General features: G+C 37.5%; 1 protein-coding gene and 1 pseudogene across 22 annotated transcripts in view, besides 3 other annotated features; both read right to left on the reverse strand.

Moving 5' to 3' along the window:
* Positions 1 to 25834, reverse strand: part of CEP112 (centrosomal protein 112) — a 556597-nt gene that overhangs the window by 364342 nt on the left and 166421 nt on the right. For all 22 annotated transcript variants that reach the window (XR_007065281.1, XR_007065280.1, XR_007065282.1 and 19 more), the window contains one exon: positions 5812 to 5891. Coding sequence is in view for 19 of the 22 variants with exons in the window: in NM_001353128.2 (NP_001340057.1) it covers positions 5812 to 5891 (80 nt within the window). In the remaining 3 variants the exon portion in view is untranslated. The remainder of the gene's footprint in view (positions 1 to 5811; positions 5892 to 25834) is intronic.
* Positions 494 to 1263, reverse strand: LOC107984972 (nuclear transport factor 2-like; annotated as a pseudogene).
* Positions 568 to 1767: an enhancer, noted in NCBI's record as "MED14-independent group 3 enhancer chr17:63996564-63997763 (GRCh37/hg19 assembly coordinates)". NCBI's record gives its function as "activates an origin of replication core promoter dependent on BRD2, BRD4, P300/CBP and CDK7 cofactors, and independent of MED14, by STARR-seq in HCT116 cells {active_cell/tissue: HCT116}" and the evidence as "EXISTENCE:reporter gene assay evidence [ECO:0000049][PMID:35650434]".
* Positions 13655 to 14156: an enhancer, noted in NCBI's record as "H3K4me1 hESC enhancer chr17:64009651-64010152 (GRCh37/hg19 assembly coordinates)". NCBI's record gives its function as "activates a minimal SCP1, AML or CMV promoter by ChIP-STARR-seq in naive H9 embryonic stem cells {active_cell/tissue: H9 hESC(naive)}" and the evidence as "EXISTENCE:reporter gene assay evidence [ECO:0000049][PMID:30033119]".
* Positions 14157 to 14656: an enhancer, noted in NCBI's record as "H3K4me1 hESC enhancer chr17:64010153-64010652 (GRCh37/hg19 assembly coordinates)". NCBI's record gives its function as "activates a minimal SCP1, AML or CMV promoter by ChIP-STARR-seq in naive H9 embryonic stem cells {active_cell/tissue: H9 hESC(naive)}" and the evidence as "EXISTENCE:reporter gene assay evidence [ECO:0000049][PMID:30033119]".

Genomic DNA, 25834 nt, shown 5'->3' on the forward strand with positions numbered 1-25834 from the left:
GTTCCTGCAAAGGACATGATCTCATTATTTTTTATGGCTGCATAGTATTCCATGGTGTATATATATCACATTTTCTTCATATAATCTATCACTAATAGGCATTTAGGTTGATTCCATGTCTTTGCTATTGTTAATATTGCTGCAATAAACTTACATGTGCATGTGTCTTTATAATAGAACACGATTTTCTATTCCTTTGGGTATATACTCAGTAATAGGATTGCTGGGTCGAATGGTACTTCTGCTTTTAGGTCTTTGAGGAATTGCCACACTGTCTTCCAATGGCTCAACTAATTTACACTCCCAACAGTGTATAAGTGTTCCTTTTTCTCTGCAACCTCACTGGCATCTGTTTTTTTTTTGTCTTTTTAGTAATAACCATTTTGACTGTAAGATGGTATCTCATTGTGGTTTTGATTTGCATTTCTCTAATGATCGGTGATGTTGAGCTTTTTTGCTTTTTTGCTTTTTTTTTTAAACTGTTAAGAAAGTGTTTGTGGTTTTATTGTATCATGAGGCATTGAAACATCTGAACAAATCAATGTCTGGGCGGGGTGAGGCAGCTGCTTTCTCCTTCACTTCTTTGGATTACTAGAGCAACTTGTCAGTAGATTAAAAAAAAAAAAAAAGGATAACCTTTTGCATTACTTAAGTCTTTCCAAGGCATGCACTGGTACAACACAAACTTCTCCCGTAGATGGAACTAGTCTAGCGTCCAAACATCATGCATAACACTTCGGTGGCAGCAGAGCACTGCGCCCACTCTCACCGTGGTGCTGCTCATTTGTGCATGATATTTGGAGCATCTGGAGGAGCAGGAATAGTATTGGGAAGAGGAGGGAGGAGGAAACAGCATGTCTGGCTGAGAGGAGGTCAGCTGAAGTTGTGCAGGGCAAGCCTGAACATGTCATTGGTGCAAACCCAAGCATCGTTGATGTTCTTTAATAGGAACATCTGGTGGAACCCCATGATGGGGTCTTCATGTCTTAAGCTGGTCCACAACCATGCTGATGATGCAGCTATCTGGCATGGGCTGATCGTCCTGCGCTGTGATGCTGTGCTGGATTTTCTGAAACGGAAGGCTAGACAACTTCTCTACAATGGCAGCTTTCCATGGAACTGTTGTCCTTCCCACATAAGGCATGACACGTCAATGTAAATTGCGCCTAGTTGGGTTCTATCATTATCAAATAACTGGTAGCAACGTTGAATGAAGCTGGATCCAATCTGCTCCCAAATGGGCTTGTCTCCCACTCTGGAGCGTCACCCGGCCTCAGGGAGACCTGAGGGGCTGGCACAATGGCAGCAGCGGTGGCAGCAAACCAGTGTGGTCTGCGTGAGCTTTTTTTCATATGATGGTTGACCACATGTATGTCTTCTTTTGAAAAGTCTATTCATGTCCTTTGCCCACTTTTTAATGGGTTTTCTTAATTGTAAATTTAAGTTCCTTATAGATGTTCGATATTAGACCTTTGTCAGATGCATAGCTTGCAAATATTTTCTCCCATTCTGTAGGTTGTGTTTCTTTTCATATTCTAGTGAACTACTACTGTACATATACTTAATACTAACTGAAAAATAGAAAGCTTGTCCACATTAGTGTCAGGGTTAAAAATATTTAGAATGTTTATGACAATGCAAAAAGAGTTTAAAATATCAGAATAAATATGTTAAGGCATTTTTGTATTTATTGTAAAAACAGAGTTTGAAAAATTAATCAAACAGATGGTTTTGGAAGTTTTAATTGAATACTTTAAAATAGACTATACACTGTCTCAAAATAATTCTTCATTATGTTTACAGCACCAAAAACTTAAAAAATTAAATTTGATAACACAAGAATATTGAAAAAGGAATAAACCAAACTTATACTATCCACATTTGTTGTTTATGAATTTTAACTCCTCCGAAAATACTATTTGGTTTTATACCATCATTTTCCTTTCATTACAGTCTATTTAGTTCCCCATATGCTTTAATTACTTATCTTTGAAAAATGAAAAATGAACATGTACAACTCACACCATTAAAGTTTCAGATAACTTTCCATTTCTGGAGGCTATTAAAATTATTTTCTACAGTAAAAAACGAAATAGGAAGCAAAAGTATTTAATACATATGTAGAACAAAAATTGAAAAGAATAGTAAGGCAACAACATTAAACTAGTTTCATTTTTAGAAACAATAGCAACAGGCAAATTAGCTTTAAGGAGTTAGCATTTAAAGTGAAACATGCTAACTACAATCCTCCTTCTTAAATAATGATAGGTTCTGAAATATCAACTTGAGCTCTAAACCAAAGATGAGTTGACAGTTTCAATTGCTTGGAGAGAGTATAAATATCAAGCACATCATCCTCTCATAGAAAAATTCCCAGCCTTTGTCTTTGATACAATTACTGTGTCAGAATAAAGCCACTCAACTTTTCCATTAACATCTCAAACACATTATATATCATCCCAATTCACAAGACTATCCCTACATGGTCGCAAAATTCTATAATCTGAGAGAATCAAAGAACTTGACACTTAGAAGTCATTAGGAGAAAAGGAAAGGTATTCTATGGAAGGAGTATATCTGGTCATGTAACAAGGTGAAGAAAGACAGCTTGGAAATAGAAAAGAAAGAGACAAAACTAGTAGAGACCAGCATCTCTACAGAGACAGGAGAAGATGGGACCAAAATCCCAGGATAATTTATTCTCCACTTTTCCTTCACAACTCAGTTAAAGACTTTTCCTTCTCTAAGATGCCTCCCATTACCAGTCCATCTTACTGATTATTACCTTATTATGTTTTTAAAGTATTTTGCTTTATACAGCATGTATCATGTTTTTATATGTATATAAATTCATATTTATATATCCCAGTTTTCTCTGATAGCCTCTCTACTATATATTCAACATGCACAGAAGAAATAAACCCTTATTCAATGAATGAAAGAAATAATAACTACATGGATAAATAACACTACATTCTAAAACTGAGATTTTCCTTCTTTGCATATTTTTAAAGAAAAAATTTTGTTAATAGTCAAGGCAAATTTCTACATCACAAAGCTGTCTTGCAGCAAAATGGAACTGTCTCTGGGCCAACCAGATCTAACGCTATTCTTAGATTCAAAAGCAGCAGCAGTCACAATATTCTCCTTTGGGAAAACAGCCAACTTGTGCTGTTTACTTTGAAGTTAGACCTCACAATAATTTACTCTTTTACTTTCAGACTACATTATTACTACTATGCTGGGTACTGTACTGTTAAGATCATCCAGACATTTAGCCAAAATGAAGGTATTAACTATATGGAAGATGGATAAATAATCTACAGAAGAATTTTATTTAACATGCTAAAATATCTTCTTTTAACTCCAAGCAAAATTCAGTATTTTGGCAAAGACTTTTGAAGTACCTAAAGAGGGTTACTTGGCTCAGAAAATGATTATGTTATATATAGAAAACTGCAGAAACTTCAGGGCTCTTTGACTATCTACCAGCACCACTAAAAGATACTATATTGTTATATACATAAACTCCTAATATCACACTGAAACGATCAGTCTGAACTTTAATTGCTGTTATGGTCAACAAGTTAATACCTAGTTATTCTAAGTACTTCAAATGCCTAACCTGGACTGGAAAATCATTAAGAACATCATTACATCTTGAGCTGTCTTCTAAACCTTTTATTTCCTTTAGTATGATATTACAATGTGTAAACATTGTAGGTACTAAACAAATATTTGTTGTCTTACTGCTATTTAAAGCAAAGGTCCCAAACCCCTGGGCACCATACAGGTCCATGGCCTGTTAGGAACCAGGCCACAGCAAGAGGTGAGCCCCGGGCAAGCCAGCATTGCCACCTGAGCTCCACCTTCTGTCAGATTAGATTCTCACAGGAGCGTGAACCCTATTGTGAACTGTGCCAGCAAGAGATTTAGCTTGCACACTCCTTATGAGAATCTAATGCCTGATGATCTGAGGTGGAACAGTTTCATCCCAAAACCATTCCCCACCCACCCCCTATCCATGGAAAAACTGTCTTCCATGAAACCGGTCCCTGGTGCCAAAAAGTTTGAGGACCACTGATTGAAAGAAATTACCCCTTCCTTAGATTTATAAATCAATAAACCAATGAAGAAATGAAGAAAGGATAAAGAAATTTAAAAAGAACAAAGGCAAAGTGGAACAAGAGAGAAAAAATATGGTAAATTTCATAAAGTTCATGGAGAAATCTTCATGAAGAAAGTAGTTAATTATTTTAAAGAGAAAAAATGAACTAATGAAGAATAGAGAGCATCCTATTCATTAAAAAAAGCAAGACTGGGCCAGGTGTGGTGGCTCACACCTGTAATACCAGCACTTTGGGAGGCCGAGGCGGGCGGATCACGAGGTCAGGAGTTCGAGACCAGCCTGACCAACATAGTGAAACCCAGTCTCTACTAAAAAAAATAAATAAATCCAAAGATTAGCTGGGCGTGGTGGCGTGTGCCTGTAATCCCAACTACTCAGGAGGCTGAGGCAGGAGAATCACTTGAACCCAAGAGGCGGAGGGTGCAGTGAGCCGAGATCGCACCACTGCACTCCAGCCTGGGTGACAGAGTGAGACCCCATCTCAAAAAAAGAAAGCAAGACTGCCCTAGTTTTGTTCAATATTTATTTGACTTAATATCTAATGAATATTATTGTTCTCTCCTGATTTCATCTAATTCATATTGACAAGGTAAACAAATAAGTCCCTCTGTAGATAAAAATATGGATGTCTTGTGATGCCATAGTTTATAAATCGCATTAAAACGTTCTATTCAGGAACTGAGCCAATATATTTTATTAACAAGCAAAGTGAGACAGAAGGAATGGTTATGCAATCTTCCCAGGCAGAATTCGATACTAAATGTGTTTGATCTTGGGTATTCTTTTTGGCCTTTCTTTAAGTCATTCTTATTTGCAGGTTTAGGGAAGCAAGTAAAATAAAATTACTGATTCTCTGGGAGTTAGCTAGGTATATTGAGCTCAAGAAAGCTTCTCCTCTTAAATCACTTTCTTGGGTCAGTCACCGTATTGACCTTCCTCCAATTAAACTCTTATCATTCTGTACCAAATTGCCAAATGTCTTGAATATTTCTCCAACTAGACTATATGGTTCTATGGGAATGTACTGAACATTGGCTGACACATGATGGGAACTCAATATTTATTGAGTTCAGACCTCACAATAATTTATGTTTTAAGTTATCTAAATGAATCAATGTTTTTTCAGCTAAAAACTGCAAGGTCAAACCTAGTAATAGGAGAGCCCAATCAATTTAGTAAATGAATGGAGAAGACAAATAAAATCTAATATTTTAATGTATGCCTAAGTACAGTAAAACATTAAAATACTGAGTATATCATAAGACAAACTCTTTCCTAAATAATGCCTGTATAGTAATCCATTTTCAAATATAACAACTGGAACATTTCATTTCCCAAACTGCTCAACAAAATCTACGGAGGAATTTCTAAATGTCCTAAGACCTAAATCTCATTTTTTAAAAAATATGTTTTCGCTTAAGAGGGAGAGAGCATCTGAAACCACTAAGTTCTATTTTTTTACATTCCTATCACTTAAAAACAGCTGAACTGATTTTTCTTTTAAAAAAAATTACTGGCTAGTAATAAAATCTTGAAGATAGAGATTTGTGATGGGAAACTGATGCAAACGAATCCATAGCAAAGCTCTTATAAAAATATAGTGTTTAGGTCCCAGTTACTTAATTTGGCTCACAGTTTAATAAAGGGTAGTTTTAAATCAAATGCATTACAATTTTACTCACTTCAAAGCTTCCTCAAATTTATGAATTTTCTTTTGAGTATCTTCTTTTCCTTTATCAAGTTCACTCTGCAAGTCATGAGCCTGCCATGACAAGAACATGGAAAATTTATTGGAAGACGAGTAAAGTTTACTTCAAAGAGACATACAAACAATGAAACAGTGATCACAAATCCATTTTTAATATAAAATTAGATTTAGATATTTCAAGATAGAAACTTGGTCTACCATAGAATGATTTCAATACTATACTCAAATACCTATTTTCTGTTCAAAATGAATTTCTTGAGTCTACCGGCAGGTGAATTCTTTTAAAATAAATTCATAACTTAAAAGAAAATAAAAAATGGAATACTTCAGATTTTTTAAATTATATTTTAATCAAAGAAAAGAAATCTTACAAGATTCAAGAGAATACAATAAACAATGTGTCTATATTCCCTGAACACATAATGGTTATGATGAAATGGTCTTCTCTTCCACTGCTGGGAATAATTTGTATAACTATTTACTGAGTTTGGAAGGAAACTGCCACCCCTCCCCACTCCCCGCACCATGCCTACCTCTTTCCTAAATGTGGATCATTTGAGTAAATGAGATGGCAGCATCAATAACAAGGGTGAAATGAAAATTTGTCTTCGGCTGGGCACGATGGCTCACATCTATAATCCCAGCACTTTGGGAGGCCGAGGCAGGCGGATCACAAGGTCAAGAGTTTGAGACCAGCCTGACCAACATGATGAAACCCTGTCTGTACTAAAAATACAAAAATTAGCCGGGCATGGTAGCGCACGCCTGTAAGCCCAGCTACTCAGGAGGCTGAGGCAGGAGAATCGCTTGAACCCAGGAGGTGGAGGTTGCAGTGAGCCAAGATCGCACCCCTGCACTCCAGCCTGGGCAACAGAGTGAGACTCCATCTCAAAAAAAAAAAAATGTCTTCACAAAAAGCTCTTCATATGCATATGCAGATAAACATAGCCAATGTGGACATTTTACGGATCTTAAAATGTAAAAGGGAAACTTTGGTACAGCTGGATGAAAAGGAAGGAATCAAACAGCAGCCATGGCTCTACATACATGGCAACTGAGGATGCAGAGCCCAGGTGGGAGGTGGGAAAGCTCAAGTTACTTGGTGGGGTGGGAAAACCCGCTACAGACCTGCTGGTAAGCAAGGTAAGGCTGAAAGTGAAACGAGTGGCCAACAGGTTTAAGAGAGAAACGACAAGAACAACAACAAAACATAAATACACTATGACAAACCATATCAAACACTGAATCAGGGCTAGCCAAAAATACCTGTAGTTAGCTATTTATATCAGTTTAAATGGAGACCTATTTAACTCAAACCCTATCTTTAACCTCTTCTTTTAAAAATTCTTTTGGATTTCTGCTCTCAGTGTTTTAGTAAATAAATAAATTAATAAAATCAATGTTTGCTTATAAACTGAAAGAAAGTGAGGGTAGACAGGACATTTTCCAAGATAATATCGAAAAGCTTCTATGGGCTGCTATGATGATAATCTCAAAAGTAAGAATACACTGAGAGGCAGAGAAGAAAAAGCAAGAGAATTAGGAACCTGTAGCCACCCTCCCCCATATTTTAAATGGTAAATTTAAAGTATCTCATAAAGACTATTTGTCTTATGAGAAAGAGAAAGAACAACTTGCCTTGCAAATTTTTGCCACTACATTTATTTTATCTTACATGCAGGAAAAAGAAGTCTGCTGTTCAAGTTTTTACCATGTTCAAGTGTTTAATTATTATTTTGGATCCCTAATATGTATTACAGTGTTTGGCACATAGTAAGCATACTATACTAGAGTACAAACATTACTAAAGCAACAAAAGCACCATTTCAACGCAAATCTAGTCTTTTTAATGTAGAGAGTCAAAGACTAAAACCTCAAAATGAAATTCAGATATGACCTAATACAAAGATCCTGGAAACATGTTTTTACATCAGTAAAAAATAAAATCTTAAGTGAAAAATCACCCACCAATTTAGGAAAAACACACAGAGAAAAGTCAATGTATTCAAGTGAAAGGGTGGGGGAAGGACAATTCAGAAGAAAGTTAAAGGGAGAAACTAATATGTGAGATGTTATCTTACACTGGTGTTTACTTATACATATTCACCTCTCCTTTTGCTTTAATCGTTCTTTCTTAGTCAAGTTCTCTCGCAAGTTGAATTTGGCCCAAATCATACATTTTTTTCTTAGATTTATTGCTAGCACTAAAATACTATTTATGCCGTTTTTTCCTGTTTCCTAATTTTTTATGTTACTTTTTATACATGGCATTTTTGTTACTGTCCTCAACTCCTCCATGTTCTGACAGATTGACACATAGAGACAGAAAATGACTTTTCCAGCTTTATTGCCATATAATTGGCAAATAAAATTATACATCTTTGAGGTATACAACATGGTGTTTTTAAAATTTATTTTAATTGAAAAATGACAAATCGTATATACATATGTGTGAAGTTTTGATATATGTATACATTGTAGAAATATTAAATCAAGCTAAGTCACATATTCATATCATACATATACTTATTTTTGTGATGAGAACATTTAAAGTTTGTTCTCTTAGCAATTTTCAAGTATACTACAGATTATTATTAATAATAATCACCATATTATATCTCCAGATACTTATTCCTCCTGTCTAAAACTTTTATTTTTGAGACAGGGTCTCACTGCCACCCAGGCTGAAGTACAGTGGCACAATGGTAGCTCACTGTAACCTCAAACTCCTGAACTCAAGTGATCCCCCCGTATCAGCCCCCCAGGTAGCTAGGACTACAGGCATGCACCACCACACCTGGATCATATTTTTTTAGAATCAGGGTCTCACTATGTTGCCCAGTCTGGTATAAAATGCCTGCCCTCAAGTGAACCTCCCTCGGCATCCAAAAGTGCTGGGATTTTAGTCATGAGCCATTCTGACCAGCCTAAACTAAAACTTTGTACCCTTTAACCAGCATCTACCCATTCCCTGACATCCCTCCCCACCCAGCCCCTGGTAACCACCATTCTATTATCTGATTCTAGGAGTTTGATTGCTTTTTCAGATTTCATGTATAAGGGAGATAATGCAGTACTTGTCCTCCAGGACCTTCCATGTTATTGCAAATGACAGGATTTTCTTTTTTAAGGCTGCATAGTATTCCACTGTATATATACATACCACAGTTTCTTCCATCCATAGATGAACACTTAGGTCAATCCCATTCATCCACAGATAAATACATAGCTTGATTCCATATTTTGGCTCTTGTGAATAGTGCTGCAATGAACATAGGAGTGTAGATATCTCTTAAACATACTGATTTCATTTCCTTTGGATATAAACCCAGAAGTGGAAATTGCTGAATGATACGGTAGTGCTATTTTTAATTTTTTGAGATACTTCCATACTGTTTGCCATAATGACATTCCCACCAACAGAGTATAGACGCTCTCTTTCTTCCACATCCTGGCCTACACTTGTTATCCCTTTGTGTGTGTGTGTGTGTGTGTGTGTGTGTGTGTGTGTGTGTGTTAGCAAAAGCCATTCTAACAAGTGTAAGGTGATATTTCATTTTAGTTTTGATTTGCCTTTCCCTGATGATTAGTGATGTCGAGAATGTTTCATATACCTGTTATTTGTATATCTTCTTTGGAAAAGTGTCTATTCAAGTCCTTGGCCCATTTTTTAAACATCAGGTTATTTGTGTTTTTGCTATAAAATTGTTTTAGTTCCTTATATATTTAGGATATTAGTCCCTTATCAGATAAATGGTTTGCAAATATTTTCTCCCATTCTGTAGTTTGCCTCTTCACTCTGTTGACTGTAAATCTTTGCCACTTTGTATATCCAGAATGGTATTTTCCAGGTAAACTTTCAGGATTTCTACAGTTTTCAGTTTTACATTTAAGTCTTTAATCCATATTGACTTTATGTTTGCTTATGGTATAGGGAAAGGGTCCAGTTTCAATCTTTTGTATATGGCTAGCCAGTTATCCCAGCACCATTCATTGAATAGGGAGTCATTTCCCCATTGCTTTTTTGTGTTGACTTTGCTGAAGATCACACAGTTGAAGGTACGCAGCCTTATTTCTGGGTTCTCTATTCTGTTCCATTAATCTATGTGTCTGTTTTGTACCAGTACCATGCTGTTTTGCTTACAGTAGGCTTATAATATAGTTTGAAGTCAGGCAATGTGATGCTTCCAGCTTGTTCTTTTTGCTTACGATTGTCTTGGATATTCAATCTCTTTTTTGGTTCTATATGAATTGTAAAACAGTTTTTTCTAATTCTGTGAAGAATGTCATTAGTGGTTTGATAGGAATAGTATTGAATTTGTAAATTTTTTAGGGGAGTATGGACATTTTAACAATATTGATTCTTCCTATCCATGAGGATGAAGTGTTTTTTGATTTATTTGTGTCATCTCTGATTTCATTGAGCAATGTTTTTTATCCCATTGTAGAAATCTTGCACCTCTCTGGTTAGGTGTATTCCTAGGTATTTTATTCTTTTTGTGGCTAATGTGAATGGAACTGCATTCTTGATTTGGTTCTCAGCTTGGGTGTTGCTGGTGTATAAGAATGCTAGTGATTTTTGTACATTGATTTTGTATCCTGAAAAAATATAGCTTTTTTATCAGATGAAGTTGTTTATCAGATCAAGGAGTTTGGGGTTTTCTAGGCATAGAATCATATCATCCGCAAACAGGGATATTTGACTTCCTCTCTTCCTATTTGGATACCTTTTCTTTCTTTCTCCTGCCTGATTGGTCTGGCCAGGTTTTCCACTACTATGTTAAATAGGAGTGGTGAAAGAGGGCATCCTTGCCTTGCTGAGGTTTTCAAAGGTATGTCTCCAGCTTTTGCCCACTCAGTATTACGTTGGCTGTGGGTTTCTCATAGATGGCTCTTATTATTTTGAAGTATGTTCCTTTAATGCCTAGTTTGTTGAGGGTTTTTAACATGAAGAGATGTTGGATTTTATCAAAAGCCTTTTCTGCAGCTATTGAGATGATCCTGTGGGTTTTGTCTTTAGTTCTGTTTATGTGATGAATTGCATTTATTGATTTGCATATGTTGAGTCAACCTTGCATCCCAGGGATAAAGTATACTTGATTGTGGTGAATTAGCTTTTTGATGTGCTGCTGAATTTGGTTTCCTAGTATTTTGTTGAAGATTTTTGTATCAATGTTTATCAAGGATATTGGCCTGAAGCTTACTTTTTTTGTCGTGTCTCTGTAAGGTTTTGGTATCAGTATGATGCTAACCTCACAGGATGAGTTAAGGAGGAGTCCCTCCTCCTCAATTTTTTGGAACAGCTTCAGTAGGAATAGTAGCAGCTCTTCTTTACACATCTGCTAGAATTAGGCTGTGGATCCCTCTGGTCCTGGGGTTTTTTTGGTTGGTAGGCTTTTTATTACTGATTTAATTATGTAACTCATTATTGGTTTGTTCAGGGATTCAGTTACTTCCTGGTTCAGTATTGGGAAGTATTCTTGTATGGTTTTTCGCATCTCAATTTCCTTCAGTTCCGTTCTACTTTTGGTTATTTCTTGTCTTCTGCTAGCTTTGGAGTTGGTTTGCTCATTTCTCTGGTTGCTCTAGTTGTACTATTAGGTGGTTAACTTGAGATCTTTCTAACTTTCTGATATGAGTGCTAAGCATTATGAACTTCACTCTTAACACTGCCTTTGCTATATCCCAGAGATTCTGGTACATTTTATCTTTAATCTCATTAAAGAATTTCTTGATTTCTGCCTAAATTGCATTATTTACCCAAAAGTCATTCAGGATCAGGTTGTTTAATTTCCATGTAATTATATGGCTGTCAGCGATTTTCTTAGTATTAATTTCTATTTTTAATGCACTGTGGTCCAAGAGTGTAGCTGGTATAATTTTGCTTTTTTTATTTGCTGAGGATTGTTTTGTGTCCAATTGTGTGCTTGGTTTTAGAGTATGTGCCATGTGCAGATGAGAAGAATATATATTCTGTTGTTTTGGGTAGAGTGTTATGTAGATGTTATACATGCATTTGGTCAAGTGTCAAATTTGAGTTCTGAATATCTTTGTTAGTTTTCTCCCTTGATGATCTGACATTTGACTAATACTGTCAGTGGGGTATTGAAGTCTCTCATCATTATTCTGTGGTTGTCTAAGTCTTTTCATAGGTCTCTAAGAATTTGCTTTATGAGTCTGGGTGCTCCTGTATTGGGTGCATATATATTTAGGATAATTAGGTTTTCTTGCTGAATTGAGCAGTTTACCATTATGCAATGTCCTTCTTTGTCTTTTTTGATATTTGTTGATTTAAAGGCTGTTTTGTCTGAAATTAGAATAGCAACCCCTGCTTTTTTCTGTTTTCCATTTGCTTGGTATATTTCTCTCCATCTCTTTACTTTGAGCCTATGGGTGTCACTGCCTCTGAGATGTGTCTCTCAAAGACAGCATACCATTGGGTCTTGCCTCTTTATCCAACTTGCCTTTATCCAACTCTGTGCCTTTTAATTAGGGCATTTTGCCCATTTACATTCAAGGTTAGTATTGATATGTGCTTATTTGATCCTGTCATCATGTTGTTAGCTGGTTATTATGCAGACTTGTTTGTGTGGTTGCTTTATTGTGTCATTGGCCTGTGTACTTAAGTGTGTTTTTGTAGTGGCTGTTAACGGTCTATCCTTCCCATGTTTAGGACTCTCTTCAGAACCTCTTATAAGGTAGGTCTGGTGGTAATGAAATCGCTTAGCATTTGCTTGTCTGAAAAGGATCTTATTTCTCCTTTGCTTATAAAGCTTAGTTTGCTGGGACATAAAACTCTTGGCTGAAAATTCTTTTCCTTAAGAATGCTGAATATAGGCCCCCAATGTCTTCTGATTTGTACGGTTTCTTCTGAGAGGTCTGCTGTTACCCTGATGGGCTTCACTTTGTAGGTGACGTGCCCCTTCTCTCTAGCTGTCTTTAATATTTTTTTTATTTCGACCTTGGAGAATCTGATAACTATGTGTCTTGGGGATGGTCTTCTTGTGGAGTACTTTGCAAAGGTTCTCTGCATTTCCTGAATTTAAATGTTGGTCTCTCTAGCAAGGTTGGGGAAATTTTTATGAATGATAACCCAAAGGATATTTTCCAAGCTACTTGCTTTCTTTCCCTTTCAGGGACACCAATAAGTCATAGATTTGGTCTCTTCACATAATCCCGTATTTCTCTGAAGTTGTTTTCATTTTACTTTTTTTTTTCTTTATTTTTGTCTGACTGAGTTATTTCAGATAGCTGTTCTTCAAGTTCTGATATTCTTTCCTCAGCCTGGTTGATTCTACTGTTAACACTTGTGATTGTATTCTGAAATTCGTGAAGTGAGTTGTCCAGCTCTATCAGGTAAGTTTGGTTCTTCGTTAAAATGGCATTTTCATATTTCATATCCTATATTATTTTATTTTATTCCTTATAATCCTTGGATTGGGTTTCAACATTCCCCTGAATCTCAATCATCTTCGTTCCTATTCATAGTCTAAATTCTACTTCTACCATTTCAGCCTGGTTAAGAACCATTGCTGGAGAACTAGTGTGGGTGTCTGTAGGTAAGAAGACACTCTGGCTTTTTGAGTTGCCAGAGTTCTTGCTCTGGTTCTTTCTCATCTGTGTGGGCTCATGTCCCTTCAACCTTTGAAGTTGCTGTCCTTTGGATGGTGGGGTTTTTGTTTTGTTTTGTTTTTTGCTTTTATCTCCATTGATGTCCTTGGGGGTTTGTGGCATAAGGTGGGGTCCATCGACTGGCTTCATTTCTAGTAGATTTTGAGGAGCCAAGGCTCAGCTCAACACTCCCACACTGTATACTCTAACTCTAAGGGGCTGGTATCGGGTCACTGGCTTTGTTCTCTGGTCCCTCAAAGTTGGGACCTGCTGTGTTAAATGGGCCAAAGTGTTCCTGGTCCGATGGCCACAACACTCCAACGAGTGGTGCCAGCCAAAGCGCTTCATCAGGCAGTGGCAATGTGATTAATGCTTGTTTGCATGTGCCAGCAGCAGTGGTAGTACACCAGGGTTCACCCTTGTTAGCTGGGGTGGGGCGCTGGCAGACCAGCAACTGCCAGCCTCTGTATGCGCATTCACAGTGGCAGCAGTGGCACCATGGAGGGGAGGGGTCACTGGCATCTGTGTGTGCATTCACACTGGTGGGCAGTGTTGGCATAGCAGTGGATTTCTGGCTGGGGTGGGGCTGGCAAACTCCTTGTGCATGTTCACACTGGTGGCAATCGTGGTGGGAGGCAGGGCCACTGGCCTTCCTGAGTGCTTTCACACCAGAAATGGCAGCACTGCAACACAGCAGCAAGTGGGGGACGGGTACACTCACGCTGGCAGCAATGGCGCAGTGGGATGCACGCACATCACTGCACCAGCATGGAAGGGCAAGGTTCACCCATGCACACATGTGCCAATATGGCAATAGGAGGATGGCCTTGGGTGAGTGCTTGCTGGTAAAGCAGCATGGGGGAGGCTGCAGTAGAGGGAGAGTGTGAGTGGGCCAGTGCATGTCAGTGGGGGCCACTCTGCTGGAGCTCTCTGGCAATCTGGCACAGTCTGCCAGCACAGGAGCTATGATGAGGGCCCTAGGGAGGCATCCTGGTTGAGCATCTGAGTCTGCACTGTAAGCAGGCAAAGCCAGGCTATGGTCCCAGGAGAGGCCAGCCGATGGGAGAGTTCAGGTAAGACTGGCCCCATCTGCTCTGTTCAGGTTCAACAATTCTTTTAAGGCTAAAGTCTCCTAGAGGAACATGGCCAGCCTGAGGGAATGGGCATCCCCGGCCATGCCCCCCTGCAAACATTCCCTCATCAAAACTCTCTGGGCTCTGTACAGGCTGGAGTCCTGCCCCAACCATCTCTCTAAGCAACTCTCTCTGCCAGCTCAAGTGTGGGGGTCATGGGGTCTTCTGCTGCCAGGATTCCAGAGGTCCAAAGCAAGAGCAGCTCACTCCTTGCCTGCTCAACTCACCCATTCCCCAGGAGACATTAGGAGCCAGGAAGAAGACCCAGTGTGTGGCAGCCCCATGCAGGATTCCCAGCTTCCTCCCCTTTCAGCCCAGTGTCTCTGTCCTCCCTCTGTCCACTCTCAGTAACTTTCCTCTGAAGATCGACTTGGAATGTGCCAGTCTTCCCAATGTCCTACCCCCTTGGTGGCAGATATTCTTTCTAGCTGCATCTAGTCAGCCATCATTTCCCACATTTATTGATTTACCTATCTTGAGCAATCCTTGCATCCCAACAATAAACCCACTTGGTCATGGTGCCTGATCACTTAATGTGCTGTTGAATTTGGTTTGCTGGTATTTTGTCAAGGACATCGTCTTTGGAAACAGATTTTAATTACACTAATGATGCCATAAATATTTCACAATTATTTTTAACCTACATCCCTCTAATATTTAGCAAGTTAAAAATTAATACCTCTGCCCTGTTAAAATAATAGCTTGGCATATGTTTACTTCTCCCTCTCCTAGTCATTTTGGTTTTCTTTTATATAATCTTGAGATGCTGAGGCAGATAGTGGTTTTAAATTGTTTTAACTTCACATACCTTCTTTTTCAAGATTCTCTTCTGACATTTCCATTGTTTATATTGTGTACACAATAAATATTTAAATTCATCTCTATTTTAATTTTGGCATTCACCAGTACTTTTTCGTTCTTGAGTATTTTTTTTGTTTGATTTGATCTTTTGCTTATCCTTAGGCTGATTAAAGTCCATCATCCAGTAATTTTATTTTTCAAAAAGAATATCCTAGTGATATATCTTCTGAGGCTTTGCACATTCAAAAATGTCATTCTGTTGCCTTTACACATGAAGGAAATTGTAGGTATAAGATTCTTAGGTCACAACACTTTGGCCTAAAACACAGCACACGTTAAGTTTCTCTATTGTTTTATGACATTTAGGTTTGCAAATAAGAAGACTAAAGTCATCTAAACTTTGCTTTCCCCTCCCCCTGGGGTCTGGACATTTATAAAAATCATTCTCTTTGTACTGTAATTCAAACATTTTTTAATCTTGTATTGAGTTTTAGCTGATAAAGAGTGAAATCTTTAAAATTACATACACAGACCTTCTGAAAAGTTTTCTCATATCTTTAGTTATTTTTGTGTTATTTTATTCTGAGCCTTCCTTCAGAAATATCAGTTGTTATATACTGGTTTTCTATTTTCTGCCTTAATATCACCTTCCTCAAAATTTTTGATTCTTTGTCCCTTTCTTTTGCAGTCTGAAAGGTCATTATGCCTTGCCTTCATATCGCTGATTTAATTCTTTACAAAATCTGACCTAACCCAACCAGCAACTATGTGATCGTAAGTCTGCTATTGTACTTTTGGTTTCCTTACGATTTCCTTATGACAATTTTCACTTCATCCCTTTCTTTCCTTATGGTGTCTGTTCCTCCTTCATAGATATCATATCTTCTTGTATGCTACTGGTGAATTTTTAAACATTTTCTTCCGGAGTAACACATTTTCAGGAGAAACTCCTTCCTCTGAATCTTCTGTGTAATGCTCTCATTCCTTTCCTCTACAATGCTTTCCCACAGACTCCATTTTGGTTCTGTTCTCCTACTCATTCTTGAACACCGTACACCACTCAGACTTGGTGCTTGATATTCAGAACACCATTCAGTTTGCTGCTTGACAAAAACCACAGGGGCTGTAACTGTGCTTCTATTACGTGTCTCTAAGTGTGATCTCTCTCTCAGAGATACAGCTAAAACCAATTCCCAGGAGGGTTTGAACTAGGTTACACTGCTCTACTGAGGAGGCACGTTTCTCCTCAAGCCACAGCCTGCTTCACTGGTACTCTAAAATGATATGTTACACAGCCTGCTTCACTGGTACTCTAAAATGATATGTTATACAGCCTGCTTCACTGGTACTCTAAAATGATATGTTACATGGGAAACCAACAAGGAATTGCTATCAGAGTTGCTGACAAGTCAATAAGTATTTTGCAAATTGGCACTGTGCCTCCAATGTACCATGTACCAGTAGTTTCCCCTCTATTTACTGTTGATTTTTTTTTTCTGGGACTCAGAACTGCCACATAAAAGCACAGTTGAGATTTACGCCTTTAAATGGGAAGCTTCAAAAAATTAACAATTTTTGAGAAAAATCTATCTCTAAAATTATACGATGATTACGAGTCCAAGCTCATAATCAGATGGCATGGATTTGTGTCCCTGTTCCTTCACAAACTACATAACATTCTGTGCCTCAGTTGGCTCCTCTGAAAAACTGGGATAACAATGAGTATATCAAAGAATTGTGATAAGTTAATAAATTACTTGATGTAAAGACCTTAGAACAATATTAGGAACATAATAAATGATCAGTATATGTGAAACATTATTATTACTTCCTCAGATTGAATAACTCAAGGTTATTGTGAACACCCAAAATCACAATGTGCCACAATACAGTAATTCCCTTAGTCTGTCTACCTTTTCAGAAAGTAGTACCTGAATTGCCAATTTTGTCTTTTTGTAACTGCTTTTTATCATTAATTATTGAATCTTCACCTCTGACAAGTTCTTAGCTGCCATTTCTTGACACTGGTCAGTGTGCTAGCACAAGCACCTTGATCTAATTTATTGCTTCTAAAATTATTAGAATGAAATTATCTGGGTGGGAAAATAAGGGACTCCCCTCTGAGGTAAACATCAATGTGTCAATGACCATACTTTTGAGCTGGGGGTTTCTTAAGGTAGAAGCTGTTTCTCATTTTTATATCCCTAGGACCCAGGATAATATCTAGCCCATACTCCAATAGTCAATAAGTATTGTTTTAAATTTGTTTTTTCTTAATTGAATATATCTGTATTGTTTAAGAGCCTTTTTGGATTGCATTTTTAGTTTTTACCTATATTCCAGACAGCTGTGGGTGACATAAGTAAACACCAGAAAAGTGAGAGATAATTGCATACAGATCTTGGCAAAAGAGAACAGATCAATACTTTTGGTGGGTTAAAAAAAAAATCCTTGTTTGTGCTGGGCGCAGTCGCTCACACCTGCAATTCCTGCACTTTGGGAGGCTGAGGCGGGCAGATCACGAGGTCAGGAGATTGATACCATCCTGGCTAACATGGTGAAAGCCCCGTCTCTACTAAAAATAGAAAAATCAGCCAGGCATGGTGGCACATGCCTGTGATCCCAGCTACTTGAGAGGCTGAGGCAGGAGAATCTCTTGAACCCGAGAGGCAGAGACTGCAGTGAGCTGAGATTGTGCCACTGCACTTCAGCCTGGGCAACAGAGCAAGACTCTGTCTCAAAAAAAAAAAAAAAATCCTTGTTTGTACCTAAAAGAAAATTAAAGAACAAACAACCTAGAAAGAGATAATGCTATTTCCACCCCTTCCTTTTTAATGTACAAATGGTAGTAAGCAATAAATGATTTGCTTGTAATCCTTTCCCCACTTTAAATTGTTAATACCAGAAAAGTATTTAAAAGTGATAGGTAATGACAACACAAACCAGATAGTCAAGGATACATAATATATTTTCAAACATGAGAATTTGCTATAAATAATTGATTTAAGTAGCCATAAGCACATTTATTGAATATTCACTGAATATATTTTTTTTGCTCCCTTGCATCCCAAGAATTTAGGTAATCACAAAAGGAATATTGTGTAGATAAGAAAGAGATTGTGCTATATATCAGAAACTAGATATACTGTGGCAGACACCATAGCATAGTAAAGTGCACAGAGGAGGTACTGACCCAAACACTGACTAGCTGAATAACTCCACAATGCTTCTTAACTGCTATGACCTCTGCTTCCCAATATGAAAAATAAGGGTGATTAGATTGCATAACTTCTATAAATCTTTTCACTGCACAATTTCATGGTTTAAAACATCACTAAAGGCACACGTACTCTTAAAAATCATGTCAGTGGTAGTTCAAAAATACTATCCAATATGTTAAATATACGGCTGTGACTATTTTAAACATGATTTAAAAAGCGTGCATGATTGCTAGGCATTGGAATAACTATATTTTAAGGATTGTGAACTCCATTAGACTTCGTATCTCATTTGTTAAACAGTTCCATCAGAATGATTTTAAGTAGATATTTCAATTCAGTACATTTTAGAACGTAGGTGCTTAACATATGTCTGGCATGTTTCTCTAGGTAAACAGCACCATCTTTTACTCTCTGGAACTGTTTGGAAAACAAGCAATAGGTTATCTGTAGGGGGCAGGTGTTTCCTTGCTAGTCAAATCATTTAGTCTAACCATTTCCTGATTTAACAGATGAGGACAATTCATCAACAATGACATTTCGGTTTACTACTTATTATTTGTTTGATGTTCAAAGATCTTAAGAGCAGACAATAGCCACTAGAGATCAATAAAGACCATTACATAATATGTGTGTGCTTAAATTAGGGACAGCATCTGATGCTGTTTCTTTTACCTCAAAGACAAGTTAGAATCCTATGCTCCTGTCCTGCTGCTGTCTCATAGGCAGGATAAAATAATGTCATTCAGATGGCATTTCCTCCCCCTGAAGAGATATTTAGAACTAAGTTTTATACCAAAAGTTATTGAATGTGCACACCTGTAACACTAACAACAACAACAACAACAAAAAAGCCCTATACATCCCATTTAGCTCTACAATTACATAGTCCAGAGCTACGGAAGATTTATGTCAGGTCTTCGAGCTATCAAAAAGGATATTCCCTGAGAGGGATATAAGACATCAAAACTCCAAGGCTTGAGATCACAGCAGGTTTAATAAAGAAAGAAAAACAGATGTCAATGTAAAAGGGGGAGATTATGAAATTAATTGTAAAATAAAAAGTGGCATGCTGAGCAACATTTTCTTCCAATGTAAATAATGTTAGGAACATATGCAATATGAACAATGATGGCTATTTTTCTTTTAAAGATTGTTATTATTTTAAACAAATCTTAGTTACAGTGAAAACAACTAATATACATTAACAAGTAACGTTATTAAAAAGCTAGGCCAATTGATACCGCATGGAAAGGGAATCACTGTAGTTATGACACCTAATAAAAAGGATTTAGGTCTGCTCCTTGAAGTGAAATAGAATAGGAATGGTCAGCAGGCTACTGGATACAGATGAACTGAGCTCCAATATTCCCTTTCTAGTGTACATTCACCAGGGAGGGAGACTGATAGCAGAAACCTTAGTTTACTTCGAGGCTAAATACCCAAGAAAAGATAATGGTAGAAGAAAGATTTCCTTTCTAGGTCTATCTCTATGTGCGTAACAGTCCTCAGCAGGATGTAATGAAGTTTGGGATAGGAATACCTTATTTTACAAATAGCCAGTGCATCCCTTTCTCCTCACTACAGCCTGTCTGTCTCACAGGTACATACATACCAGGATATCAGGAAGAGGGCTTACCAGACTGCAACAGAGCAGGAAGCCAGGAAGCTCTTCCTTAATGGATGGACAGCCAGTGATCTGCCCAAAGAATGAACGGTGGACAAACAATACACCTAAAGGATACTGATGCCTTATACAGGAAGCAAGGATTATGAAAAAGTATGTCCATTTCATATGAAATATACTTAACATTTTGTATTGAGCTGCATTAAAACTGCAACAATAAGGAAATTTATTATGATTTAAAAGAGCACTCATGCAGGTCAATACGTGTTGCTAGAAACACTTTTCCAAATGACAGAAACAGATTTCTTCCTATACACTAAGCTCATGAAGGGCAGAATCTATGTCTAATTCATCCTCAACCCCACCCCAGTACCTAATATAATACCTTCCCCAATATAACCATTTAATGGGTATCTGCTGAGTGACTATATGGATAAACAAGATGGTGGTATTACAAAGTGTTTTTTAACATTTTGTGATATAAACCATATGTAATTTTAACTTGTATGTATTCTAAATAGTTTAAAGGTTAACTTTTTTCATTTTCTATTATTTTTGTATTTTACAAGTAGATTGACTTGATAAATGTTAAAACAGCAGATAGTGACAAAAGCAGCAACAAACATTTGCCATTTAACTACTCTTTTACTTTCTATATCTTATAGCAAAAAAGAATTTAGAAACTTAAGTTTCATAGTCAGAAATCTATAGAACTCTGTTTTTCCCGAGATGGTGGACCAGAGGCCTTTCCAACGTGCCTCATCTACTTGGAAGAATTTTGTCCAAGAAGGAAATGAAAAATCAACAGAAAGTGAAAGAAAACTTCAGATACTGGGGAAGAGAAGGTGAGCAGGGAGACAGTGGCTAGGTCTGGTTGAGAACTGAGTGAAGCTCCAATATAGGAGAGGGGAAGAGAATGTCCCTCTGCAATCTACCTGTCTACTGAGGAACTGTGCAACCTAGGCCATGGGGAACACCCTATCCCTCCCAAGCCCTGGATATAACTAGGAGAGAGGCCAGGAGCGTGTGAAAAGGAATGATACCAGGAAGTACCCCAGGCATTGTCCCAGACCTGGGACCCAACAGGACAATGCCATTCTTGATTCTAACTCATATCAAGCTCGGCGGGTCCCTGAAATCTAGCAGTGGCGGCAGCACCAGCATTAGTCTTGGGCCAGGATTTGGAGTGCTGGATCTGGAGCAGGGGAAGAGCCCCCACAGCCAGAACTTAGAGGTAAGTGTGGTGTGCAATCCAGCTGTGGGTGCTAGAATTGGGATACCCCTCCTTCATAGACCGAAATAGGAGGAGAGTTGCTGAAGAGGCATGGTTTTGCCTGGGTAGCAGGTTTTGTGGCCACAGGCAGCTTTGAAAAATAAAGTAAAAAAACTGCACGTAACATTTCTGAGTGTTGCAACTGGCTCCCTTGCTTGGAATAGGGGTGTGAGCCCCCTCAGGTCTGAAGAGTGAGAGGTGGGTCCCCCTCCTGATCACCTGGAGTAGGCATGTGGGACACCCATCACTTCCCATGCAGAGAACTTGGTGCAGCAGTGGTTGCTCTGTTTCTTGCCCAGCCTTATCTCCAGCCACCTGCTGACTACCTCTAGACCCCTGTCAGGGCTGGTGCTTGTGCCTACTGTTGGGAGATGTGAATGCAGACTTGCCCAGTCCAGCTCTGCCCAGATTTGGCCTCCACTGAGACTGAGCACAGGACCCAGTCCACTGAATATTCCATGGCCCAGCCATTGTCTGGGCAATGAAGTACTTCTCATGGTTAACAAAGGTCAAGCATAAACTTTATTCCTACAAGAGCAACTGGCGTTTTTACCTGCAAGTGCCACCTACTGGTCTGGAGGTTGACCTGCAAACCCCATAGTAAATCTGCTGACACAAATGCACAGTGCTTGGGAATAACGTAAGATTCCCACGCCCCTTGCTACCACAATCATCAATGCCACTGTGGCTTCTCAGGAGGCTGTGAGCCTGCTTACCTTCCAGGTACACCACTACTACAACCAGTATTTGAGAAAGCCACCACACTAAGTCTATTTATAACCAAGGAAATCATACAAAGCCTTAACATTCAACATACCCAGAAGTAAACAGCTCTACCCAACATACTTCATAGTTATATCCGCAAGAAAAAAAGTTACATTTCAATGAAATTCAAAACTAAGAAGTTACTATTTCTCCAGATGTGAATAAATCACCATAATAATACCAGAAGTATGAAAAAGCAGGGTAGTATAGCACCCACAAAGGAACACAGTAATTTTCTAGCAATGGATCTTACCAAAATAAAATTTTTGAAATGCTAGATAAAGGCCAGGCACAGTGGCTCATGCCTGTAATCCCAGCACTTTGGGAGGCTGAGGTGGGCAGATCACAAGGTCAGGAGATCAAGACCACCCTAGCTAACATGGTGAAACCCGTCTCTACTAAAAATACAAAAAAAATTAGCCAGGTATTGTGGCAGGCACCTGTAGTCCCAGCTACTCAGGAGGCTGAGGCAGGAGAAGGGCATGAACCTGGGAGGCAGAGCTTGCAGTGAGCCGAGATCGTGCCACTGCACTCCAGCCTGGATGACAGAACGAGACTCCGCCTCAAGAAAAAAAAAAAAAAAAAGAAATGCCAGATAAAGAAGTAAAAATACTGATTTTAAAGAGATTCAATGAGATAAAAGATATTCTGAAAACCAGCACAAAGACATCACAAAATCAATTCAGGATATAAATTTTAAAAACTTGCCAATGAGACAGATATCTTAGAAAAAAATAATTTCTGGAAATGAATAATTAAGAAATTACAAAATACAGTTGAAAGCTTCAACAATTGACTGGACCAAGCAGAAAAGAAAATTCTCAGAAATTGAAGACAAGACTTTTGAATTAATCCAGTTAAACAAAAATAAACTAAAAATAAATTTTAAAAAAATGAACAAAGCCTTTGAGAAGTATGGGACTACATAAAGCAACTGAAGTTACAAAAGATTGCCATTCCTGAAAGAGAAGAAAAAGCAAAAAGTTTAGAAAACCTATTTAAGGAAATAATTGACAAAAACTTCTGTAGTCTAGCAAGAGATTTAAACATCCACATACAAGAAGTGCAACAAACACTAGAAAAAGATATTGCAAGATGCAGTTTACCATAAGAAATAGTCATCAGATGTTGTCTAAAGTCAACATGAAGAAAAAAATCCTAAACTCAGCAAGACAAAAGCATCTAGTCACCTATTAAGAAAAAAAACATCAGACTAACATCAGACTTCTCAGCACAAACCTTTTCCAAACCAGAAGAGATTGGGATCCGATCTTCAGAGTGCTTAAAAAGAAACTGTCAACCACAAATTTTATATCCTGACATAACAAGCTTCATAAATGAAAGAAATACAAAGTATTTCCCAGACAAGCAAATACTGAGGGAATTTGTCACTATTAGGCTGGTTCTATAATAAATGCTCAAAGGAGTTCTAAACATGTAAATGAAAGGTCAGTATTCACCACCATAAAAACACATTTAAGTATAAAACTCACAGGTCTTACAAAGCAATTGCACAAAGGAGGAAGAGAAAGAAATTAAATAGCAACATGACAAAACTCCACCAACCCACAAAGAGAAAAAAGAAACAAATAATTTAGAAAACAACTAGATAACATTATAACAAGAAAAAAACTCACATATGAATATTAGCCTTGAATGCAAATGGAATGAATGCTCTACTTAAAAGGTAAAGATTGACAAAATTGATTTTTAAAAGCATGAACAAAAAAAGTAAAGACCAATATCCCTGATGAACATATATGCAAAAATCCATAATAAAATACTAAGAAATCAAGTCCAACAGCACATCAAAAACATAATACACCATGATCAAGTGGGTTTTACTCCAGGGAGGCAAGGATGATTCAGCATATGCAAATCAATAAATGTGATTCATCACATAAACTGAATTAATGGCAAAAACCATATGACCGTCTCAACAGATGCAGAAAAAGCATTTGTTAAAACTGACCGCACCCTAATGATAAAAACCTTCAACAAATTAGGCATAGAAGGAATACACTTCAAAATATTAAAGGATCTGTAAGGCAAACCCACAGCCAACATCACGATAAACAGGGAAAAGTTGAAAGTAATCCCAATAAGAACTGGAATAAGACAAGGATGCTTACTTTCACCATGCCTATTCAACATAGAACTAGAAGTCTTAGCCAGAGCAATCAAGCAAGAAAAAGAAATAAAAGCCATCCAAATAGAAAAAGAGGAAGTCAAATTATCTGTTATTGATAATATGATCTTATACCTAAAAAACCCTAACAATTTCTCCCCCCAAAAACCTCTTAAATATTAAAACTGAATTCAGTAAATTTTAGGATACAAAATCAATGTATAAAAATCAGTAGTATTTCTATGTATCAAAAACAAGCTGAGAACCAAATCAAGAAGCAATCCCATTTACAATAGTTATAAAAAAAACCTAAGAATATATTTAACCAAGGAGGTAAAAGGAAAACTACAAAACACTGTTGAAAGAAGTTGTAGATGACACAAACAAATGGAAAAACATCTCATGCTCACGGATTAGAATAATTAATATTGTTAAAATGACCATACTGCACAAAGCAATCTAAGATTCAATGCAATCCCTACCAAAATACCAATATAATTTTTCTCAGACTTAGAAAAAACAATCCTCAAATTCATATGGCATTAAAAAAGAGCCAGAAGAGCCAAAGCAGTCCAAAGCAAAAAGAACAACACTGGAAGCATAACATTATTTGACCTCAGATTATACTACAAGGTTATAGTAACTAAAACAGCATGGAACTGGCATAAAAATAGATCAGTAGAACAGAATACAGAACCCAGAAACACCACCACATAACTACAGCCAAATGATCTTTGACAAAGTCAACAAAAACATATACTGGGGGAAGGACACCCTTTTCAATAAATGGTGCTCAGCAAATTGAATTACCATATGCAGAAGAATGAAACTGAATCCCTCTCTCACCATATATAAAAATCAACTCAAGATGGATCAAAGAATTAAATGTAGGACTTGAAACCCTACAAATACTGGAAGAAAACCTAGGGAAAACTCTTCTGGACATTGGTCTAATCAAAGAATTCATGACTAAGACCTCAAAAGCACAAGCAACAAAAACAGACAAATGGGATTTAATTTTAAAAAAGCTTCTAGAAAGCAAGGTAAATAATCAATAGAGTGAAAAGACAACCGTAAGAATAGGAGAACATATTTGCAAACTATGCATCTGGCCCGGGGACTGATATCCAGAATTTACAAGGAACTCAAACAACTCAACAACAGCAACAGCAACAAAATAATAATAATAATTAATAACCCCATTATAAAGTGGACAAAGGGCATGAGTAGACATTTTTCAAAAAAAGACACACAAAAGGCCAACAGACCTATGAAAAAATGCTTAACATCACTGAATATTAGAGAAATGCATATTAAAACCACAATGAGATATCATCTTATTCTAGTCAGAATGGCTATTATTAACAAGTCAAAAAATAACAGATGTTGGTGAGGATGCAGAGAAAGGAAACACTAACACTCTGCTGGTGGGAATGTAAAT

Source organism: Homo sapiens, chromosome 17, assembly GCF_000001405.40.
Source record: "Homo sapiens chromosome 17, GRCh38.p14 Primary Assembly".
Classification (NCBI taxonomy): domain Eukaryota; kingdom Metazoa; phylum Chordata; class Mammalia; order Primates; family Hominidae; genus Homo; species Homo sapiens.